General features: G+C 44.1%; 1 long non-coding RNA gene across 1 annotated transcript, besides 1 other annotated feature; it reads right to left on the bottom strand.

Moving 5' to 3' along the window:
- Positions 1 to 455: 455 nt before the first annotated feature.
- Positions 456 to 4,773, bottom strand: LOC124900784 (uncharacterized). The gene is made up of 2 exons (XR_007058280.1): positions 4,644 to 4,773; positions 456 to 4,263 (listed from the first exon to the last, which is right to left on the bottom strand). It is a non-coding gene; the product is annotated as an uncharacterized LOC124900784 (long non-coding RNA).
- Positions 732 to 921: a silencer, noted in NCBI's record as "silent region_15708". NCBI's record gives its function as "represses an Ori minimal core promoter by ATAC-STARR-seq in GM12878 lymphoblastoid cells {active_cell/tissue: GM12878}" and the evidence as "EXISTENCE:reporter gene assay evidence [ECO:0000049][PMID:35858748]".
- Positions 4,774 to 9,510: the final 4,737 nt, after the last annotated feature.

Raw genomic sequence — 9,510 nt, 5'->3', positions numbered from 1 at the left:
CTAAAGTGTGAGAAATTACAGGAGCTAAACCTGGTAACAATTCCCACACACAAACACACACACGTGCACACATCTTCTGTTAATCCTGCTGAAGAGTGAGGCCATGCCCTATCTAATATGACCCTGCAGTCCCTATCTGAAGCAACATATGGACCATAGGTGGTGGTACCCGCTTGGTTATAAGCATAATTGTGATGATTAGCCTTGATGGTACCCAAGGAGTATTTTTAGATTATTTAAAGAGACAGAGCAAAGCAATTCTTTGCATTATCAGGTTGTTATTGGTGGTGGTGGTGATATGTGTGTGTCTGTGTTAAGGCAAAATGGGAAAGCTCACCACCTGCTTCTGTGAATGTTGAAATATAATAAACACTGTTCTCACTGGGGATGTGCTGGTTCATAGCAGGAAAAAACAGCCGTGATTTTCAGAAAAGGAAAACCAGTGGCTAATGAAAACCATCCAGATAATTGAGTTTATTAATCTATTTGGCTTTAAGTCATCTTTCTCCACCATTTCCTAGTCTCTAAGTTCACAAGCTGTTTTGAAGCTCAGCTCCCTCCCTAATTCTCCCAAGGCAGCTGTGCGATAAATAACACTCCTTGCCCTCTCCTCAAACAACAGAAAGTGTTGGTTTTGGAGAACACCTGGGGAGTGAGTCCCCAGACATGCACACACCATTTTCAGACCGGGAAGTCCCTTTGAGGCGGTACTCACTGGACCCTGAACCCCAATCATCTCAGGAAGGAAATTAAGAAACTGCAGTGTTAGCTGAGTCCTTTGCCCATGTTCATTCTGTGCTGCTTCTCGGCCTTGCTGCCCCTCCAGCACCCAGACTGGCTACACTCTACACAAGAGCAGTCTCCGCTGCAGCTTTTACTTCCTGGTGACAGCCTGGCTGCCCTAGTAGGCGGGGATTTTCTCTTTTGTTGGAGCCCTTACAACTAAATTTATGACTCTTTTATTAGTTTGGCAGGTGCTTTAAGTGAGAGAGGAAAGAAGTGGCATAGCTTGCAATGTAGTTTCCGTTTGGAAAACGAGGAAATAGAAGTATTTATCCACAGTCATTTTCTGCTAAAAGCTTGCAAAGTTTTCAGGTATCATTAAGAAGGGGCCTTCTCACTGCTTCAAGCCTAGGTTTCTGGAACATGAAGGCTAGAGGGAGTCTGTAAGATCATGAAAACTTCTGCTGGTAGGAAAGGGGCCTAGACAGAGAAGTTAAATAACATGCCCAAGATCCTGCATTGCACAGCGAGCGAGAGCTCCAACACTAATGCCTGGATCAGCTCATTTCCCTGCATCTCACCACAACCGCGCCCCACTTCCTCTTTATCTCAATTTCTCTCTCTTTTCCTCCCTCCTCTGTATCACCTTCAAAAGGAACCTTTTTTGGTGGGCCTAGGAAGAAACAGTAAATCTATGGAAGAGACAAAGAAGGTTGCCAGCCTTTTTGCTTGCCTGCCTTCCTCCCTCCACTCCTTCCTTCCTGCCCTTCCCTTCTTCCCCATTCTTCCTTTCTTGATATTCGCTGTTCTGTCCTTGCCCAGGAAATAAAACTGCATTTTAAAGAAAAGTGCTTGTGCATGTGTGTATATGTGAGTGTGTGTGTGCATGTGTGTGAAGTGTGTGTGTGTGTGTGTGGAGTACATGTGTGTAGTGTGTGTAGTGTGTGTGTGTGTGTGTGTGTGTGTGTGTAACCATGACTATCTTTCCGGAATAAGCCAAAAAAAATGTAAATGGCCTTCCAAGCAAGTGGAACATATAAAATGATAGCTTTGTTTGCCTGTTCCTTGAAAACCTTAAAAATCAGTGTGTGGACAAATGATTCACACACCACAGACCCTGGGTTGCTGCCCTTCCTTTTGTTTTTCGAGATCATCCCATTTCCTTTGGGCTTCTCCCGGCTCTCCTCCAATCCACTCCTACCCTTGCCAAGTTGTCTTTTCCATTATTAGACATCCTAATAAACACTCCTAATAAATGCAGACCCTATAAACCAATCCAGGATGCTGCTTTTGGCTCCTCTGCCACCTTTAGGAAAGACTGATACCTGCATTAACTTTGTCATCTGTCCTGGAGAAACCCAGCTGAGATCTCTAACATATTCTGCTGCAAGCTGCAATATAATGGACATATTTAGTGTACATTCTGTTGTTAAATGGAATCTGCATTTCTAAGTGAACTAAAAATGCTTAATTATTAATAAACTCCCCAGGGATTGGTGACATTTGGAATGATTTTATCATGCTGTAGATATTTAACAACACAATATGTATGGTGGTATCTAATTCAACCTCTTTTGTTTAAAAGAACCTTCCTCCCAAAGTCATTTGGACTCATACACTATGTAGATTAGTCTCTGAGCATCCAGACCCAGGTAGAGGTAGAGGGAAGTCACTGAAAAATGGGATGGAGTTGAAGCTAGGGCAACAGTGCAGGGAGGGGTGGAAAGAGGCACCGAGGAGCCACATCCTGGGAGCTGGAATTGGTTTGGGGTGGGCTACAACAGGAGCTTTCATTGAGGCGGAGGCAATGGTGGCAATAAAAAGTTAATGGAAAGATCACAGGACTAGGAATTAGGGTGCCAGGCTTCTAGTTCTGCACCAATTTGCAGCCTGACTCTGAGCAAATTACCTCTCAGAGACAGAGTTTTCTTCTATATATGAAAGGCATAATTGCACCTTCCTTAGCTACCTTATAGAATTGTACCTTCCTTAGCTACCTTATAGAATTGTGAGCAAGGTATATAAAAGTATACCTTGGCTCCAAAAACTCAAGCATTTCATAACAAACATATTCAAAGGGGGAAAAAGGAAATGGTATTCACTAAGCACTGTCTACGTGCCAGGGGTTGCTTCCAATACTTTTACAAACATGAAGTCAATTAGCCTTTGCAAAAAATCTGAGACAAACCTGACTGCTCCCATTTGCAGAGTAGGAGATTGAGGTTCAGGGCCTTTGCCGAAGGTCACAAAGCTAGTGGCTGAGTCGGGCTGAAAGCCTAAAGGGAACAGGTACATATTTGAGCCGACAATATGTGAAGGAAAATGGGTCACAACTTTAATTTTTAAATAGGAATGTTCCATCAACCTAAGCATTTGGTTGACTTATACATGGTGATACGCATGATCACAACATATGAACATTAACATGAAATTTTAATTATTTTGCCATCCATCTAATTCTTGGCACAGTTCTGATATTAAGGAAGGAAAATCTCTTAGTGTCAAAAATAGATTTTTAAATAAAGTAAATGTGGCTCGGTGCGGTGGCTCACGCCTGTAATCCCAGCACTTTGGGAGGCTGAAGCAGGTGGATCACAAGGTCAGGAGTTTGAGAACAGCCTGGCCAACATAGTGAAACCCCGTCTCTACTAAAAATACAAACATTAGCTGGGTGTGGTGGCACATGCCTGTAGTGCCAGCTACTTGGGAGGCCGAGGCAGGAGAATCGCTTGAACCTGAACCCGGGAGGTAGAAGTTGCAGTGAGCCGAGATCATGCCATTGCACTCCAGCCTGGGGAGCAGACTGAGACTCCGTCTCAAAAAATATATATATAAAAATAAAGTAAATGTTTAGGAAGTCCTGCCATTAGGTTTATAGGATCTTGATCTGTTAGTAGTGGATTGACTGATGATATTGAATTTAACACTCATTACTTCCTCATTTCTGGAATTTCACTGTGAGTCTGGGTTTGGATGGCGTTTTAGACTCCAGTAGTAACAATTATTTCTCCTTCCTCCATTCCTGTTCAGCACCCTGTGTTCTCCCCAGGATGGTGGAGAGCTCATTTGCATACAAATGCTCAGCACGTTGTGGGTCCTGGTTGGCAGCATTCAGCCTGGAGATAAAGTTATTAATGGCTGTTTATAAGAAAGACAAATTGGAGCAGGGTTTGGAGCAAGAGACCAGAAGCCAGTCCATCACCTGCTCCCTCGGTGACCTCGCGTCACCTCTTCATGCTTCAGTTTCTCCATCTGTTGGTGGAAAGAATGATACATGATACCTTGCTCTCAGACTGTCAGGAACATCTTTGGAAAGCACTAGGAGATGCTGGAAGAGGCCCGAAAACCTTCATAGTTGCGTTTATGTGGTAAAATAAAACTTCATCTGATGGTTTATAAATTACAGAAAATATGATTTTTTTCTCTCAAAATAAGAAGATGAAAAAGTACTTATATTTCTTCATTCATTGGTCGACAGTATTTCATTAAATCCACTTCCATGGCTGGACCTAATGATTCATTTAAATATAAACAGATAACCTGTAGAAGGTGCACAAGTAGATGCTATTATTACCAATAGTTAACTTTACTACTGCAAAATGCATTTCTACACTACTTTTAACGTTTTTAGCATGCTTCCTCTCTCCCCCTCACTCCACAGTCACAGACACACACGCTTCCCCATGGTAGAATGGCAGAGAAATGGTATAATCTCCTCTATTTTACAAATGAGAAAACCTAAACTAGAAGAAGTCAGTAAACTGCCAACTCCATGCAGGTAATTACAGACAGAGTTAGAATAATCTAAGCCTTGAAACCCAGCGCTTATCCTTCCCAACTTCATTTTTTATAACCCTGAAGACTGGCTTTTTTTTCTCTTTCTGTTTTTGTACATCTTTTTTTTTTTCCCCTCCACTTACTGATCTCACAGGGCTACAGGTGCCTTCTCCATATTCCTTCTCTAGGAAGGCTTCTAAAGCAACTCTCATCTCTGAGGTTCTCAAGTAAAGTTTGCAGGAAAGTGAGAACTCAGGCATGACTGTTTGCTTGTTAAGCTTGCTCCTCCTTGTAAGCCCGAAGAAAAACCTGCCGAAAATCATATTACTGCGTCACTGGGCCCTCCAGACTGCTCTAAGTGGAGGATCCAGTCATGCTGCACAAGTCATCTGCAGGCTGAAATAGCTGCGTCGTGATGCTATTACGGACATGAGCTTGTATGAGCTTCTAAAGTGTAGCCAGGCTTAAGAATCAGAAGAGAAAGCATGGGTTGAACACCAAAAGAGCACCTTAAACTGATACTTTTTTCCTGTCGGAAATTAAATTGTAAAGCTTATTAGAAACTGATGAAGAGACACAGAAAAGCTATAGCTGATAATGTACCAACCCCATTGTTCACACATATCCAACAACGACTTAATTCTCTGCATCCCATTTGCCAAACCTGTCTGCTATTATTCCTTCCCAGCAAGTGCCCCCGAGTACCTGCCCAGTACCACTCAGCCAGAAAAGTTTCCCGAGATTTTTTAATACTGAAACAAAGAGGTCTGCAAATGGGAAACCCAATATAATAGACAGCTGGCTGCTGCTGGCCATGGCATGACTGCCCAAGCTCAGACAGAAAGAACGAATCTTCTCGAAGATGTTCCTGTCTGCCCCACTTGAGCCACTACTGCCAGGGCAGGCATCCCTGGGAAATTGCCCTGTAAAATGAGCAGCTCCTTTTCAACAGCAGACTCCCAGCTGCTTCCCACCTCGGAGGCTGCTATTGGGCATGACAGGGCAGTCCTCCTGGCCTGGCTGGCGCTCAGTGGGACTATTAGGAGCCTGGGCTGGGAGGCACAGGTGGGTGGGGGCAATGCGGCAGCCCCAGGTGGCACACCTGCCCCTTGCAGGGCCCTCTCCAGCTTTAGATTGACGGGGCTGGTGATTCTAGGGTTGGGTGCCCTTTCCAAGTGTATTGATCTCCCCTCCTCTTCCCAAATTGCGCCATGCACCTTCACCCACGCTAAAGCCCTGCCTGGAAACAGAACGCTGTGGCCAGCCCTTCCCCCAAGAGCCAGAAGGGCCAGCTCTGGCCCACAGCCAGGCTCTAAAGAAACAGCATAGGGCAGAGAGAGGCGGTGGGTGGGGCCAAGAGCCTTGTGTTACACATTCAAAGCCTAATTTTGGATCAGAGTCATCCTTGTAGCCAAGCCTGAAAGATCACTGAGGCCCCAAAATGAACCCGCAGCTCTGAGGCGGGGCCTGGACGAACCCTCAGCTCTCTTGCCCACATGCTGCTCTCCTTAGGGAAGTTAAGTTAGGCTTGTTTGGATTTTCACTGGTATTTTTTTAAGCAACATCAGTTGTCTTTTAGCCTCATGCTAGCCGAGGGCAGTTCACGTTTCCTACCCCTATCTCTCTGTACACATTCACAAAATGCCTCAGCTGAGAGGCTGACCAGAAGCCAGGGCTCCTAGTGCTACTGCCTAAGACACGCCATTCTGCTGGTGGTCACACCAGTCAGACAATAGGCCAGTCGGATGAAGGCAGCTGCAGGTGAAAGCAGGCACCTTCCCATTAACAATAGAACCAGCTCTCTCTGACTGACATGCAAGAGTCTCTTGCGAGAGGAGAAACCGGACCAGAACCAGCGCTGGCCTCTGGAAGCCACAGGAGAGAGAGAAGGGCTGCTCCCTCTTCTTACAAGGGTGTGGGCACTTCCTTCAGAGAATTTGTTGCTGCCAAGATCAGGCTGTTGCCTCCCAGGAACTCGAGGTATCGGGATGCTTGTTTGCAGAGCTGGCCAGCCAGCAGCCCAGAGCAGCTGGTTGTAATTATGCGTTGCAGCTTCAGAGGAAGTTGCTGGCTGCGGAGCGTGTGCTGGGCCTGGCTGCACATTGGCTGCTGGGCTTAAGGGAACAATGGAGATAGAAACCAGTGGCAGCAGGGGAAGGGGAGGAGCGGGACGAGGGTGAAGACAGGCAGAAAGAAAGGGCAAGAGCTGCTCCCAGCGCTGAATATGGAAAAACCCACATCTGCACTCCAAGGATCCGTCTCTTGTTCCCAGACTTAAAACAAAGTGCATGCCCCTCTGTGAACAGCCCCCTGACTTTTCTTTTTAAGCTGTACCTGCTGCACACTGTATTTAGAGAAGTGTGCCTGGGTGACATATTGAATAGCACTCCTCAGCCTGTTTAATCTAAATTGACTGCATCTTTGTAGCAGCTGGCCACAGGGAAAAACAAAAGAATTCATGATGAAAAAGGCAAATCTCTCTTGACGAGAAAGTACCTCAGCAGTGGTAGCAGCAGTTAAACATTTCAGTACCTTGCTAAATGCTGTGCCCAGATGCGTACATCAGGAGGAAAAGAAAAAAAAAAAACTTTATAGAAGTGAAATGTGGGTTAATTAACAAGTTTTTTTTTTCCTGGATGGAGAAAAACTTATTAATGTCTGGTTCTTTATACTTTCCAAGATTTCTTCAGTGTTTCCTAATTAGAACGTAGCAGGAAAACGAACAGAGGGAAACCGGTGAGTTGTTGGGGGTCAGAGGGCTTTCTTCCTGCTGCCTGTGTTTGGAGCCCCCGCCCCACCAACTTCAAACCAGCAAGGATCTTCTATCACATATTTATGGACAGTCACATCTACTTAGTCTTTCTGTGGTTCCTTCCTCCTTCAGCCGGGAGCTTGCTCATAGCATTCACACAGCTCAGAGTTCCCAAAAAGTATGCAGAATCCCGTGTTTCTGCCAGCTCAGGGAATATGTTGAAGGCCCCAAATCAGACAGTGCACAGGCCTGAGAGTCCTGTGGCCTCTTGGTGACCCCTCTCTACTCGTACAACTCCTGATTTATGTTGTTTTAAAAGGGCGGGTGTCCTACCTGTTATTGGGCACCCTTGATGTATAAAACTGACAGCCACGCACAATGACACATTATTGGCTTGGGTTGGTAAATGAGGAGGCAATTTCATTACCTTTTCCTCTTATCCATTGCCTAGCACAAGATTACTTGAAATGCTATCAATCAGTAGGGATGAATGCAGGGAAGTGCCCAGCTTGTGTGTGGGCATGGCAGCCTTGTGCCCTAATGATTACAGAAAATAAATGATGACGCTACTGTCTTTAGGACTGATTGCAGGATCTCCTTATTGCCTGAGTGAAGAGATTATGGTGACAGGTCAAAAGGATTTTTCCAGTAAGTTCTGAGTAGGTACTATTTTTTCTTCTTTTTCCTTCCTTCTCTTTCCTCCCACTTTGGTCCTAGTTTTTTGAGGTTTTTTTGTTTTTGTTTTTTTGAGAGGGTCTCACTCTGTTGCACATGTTGACCATGCAGTGGCATGGTCATAGCTACTACAGCCTTGAACTCCCGGGCTCAAGACATCCTCCCATTTCAGCCTTCCAAGCACGTAGGACTACAGGCACATGCCACCATGCCTAGTTAATTTTTAAATAAACATGTGGTCTCACTTGTTGCCCAGGCTGGCCCTAGCTTTTCTAAACACACATGTACACGTACACATACACGGTTAGTTTTCTAGAGCTGGGCTGTTCAATATAGTAGCCACTTATGGGAATTTAAATGAATTAAAATTAAATAAAATGTAAAACTCAGTCTTACAGTCACACTAGCCATATTTCAACTGCTCAGTAGCCACTGGTGGCAGTGGCTCCCATATTGGACAGCACAAAATTAGAGACTACTTCCATCATTGCAAAGTTCTACTAGGCAGCCCAACCAAGAGCATCTATTTGCTCTTCTATCTCAGGACTCCTGTTCCTTTTAGAATCCTTTACCTATAATTTCTTTAAAGGTGAAACTTTTTTTTAAAATCACAACTTAAAACTAATTAGCTTCCTCCCAGCAACTAAGGGAAAGCTGTCCAGCTACTCTGCTGATAGATCTTCTAGAAGAGTTAGTTTGGCAGGGTGTGGCAGAGTAGACACTGAAAGGACATAAAGTCAGCTAAACTAGTTTCAGGCTGTCTGACCCTAACCTATTTCTTTAGATAATTTTCCTAGATAATTCTTAATAATAGCTAGAAGGAGCCACTCTGAAGCTAAGTGGTGTGTCAAGAAAGATACCGGGGTATCTCCATAAAAATTTGCACAATAAATAAAAAGTAATAGCTCCTTTAGAACTACACGGTACACACTGCACTACGAATTCCTGCAGTGAGGCTTTGAAGTTGGGCGGAGATGCGCAGAGCAATGAAGCACTTTGATGCAGCTGGAAGCATCTTCAAAGCTTCCAGAGGGAAAGATTAAAACAACTACCTGTAACCAATTGTTCAGGTCTTTTGTGTGTGTGTTGGTGGGGGTAGGGGCTGGACCACACAAAAATTAAACAAATAAACCAAAAACTGCATGGAAGCACTGTACCCAAACTAACTACAACAAAATGAAACAAAAGATGGGCTATTTAATTTAATACTTTTGCTGGGAAATAAACTGCACCAAAATTTTTAATTTTTATTTTTATTTTTGAGCTTAAAATATAACCTTGTTCGCATATGGCACATACGTTCAATATTTTTAAATTTTTCATTTCAAGTTCCTTTTGCAAATCTTCCAACTCTGCTTTGTTCTCATCTTTCCTAGTGATAAGATAAACTATGTATCTTATTAACAAGTTAGACAACATGAACACAAAGTTTATCCTGAGCCTCCCACAATTAAATTTAAGATGAAAGTGTTCAAAGTGCAGGCCCTATGAGTATGTTATTATTCACAAATTCTTATGAACTTTTATTCCACTCTATTGTGGTGAGGGTATTGGTGGGTAACGGTGCGTTCCTGGAAGCACAT

Source organism: Homo sapiens, chromosome 4, assembly GCF_000001405.40.
Source record: "Homo sapiens chromosome 4, GRCh38.p14 Primary Assembly".
NCBI lineage: Eukaryota > Metazoa > Chordata > Mammalia > Primates > Hominidae > Homo > Homo sapiens.
Note: the sequence above shows the minus strand (reverse complement) of the source record. Positions and strands in the feature narration are given on the sequence as shown.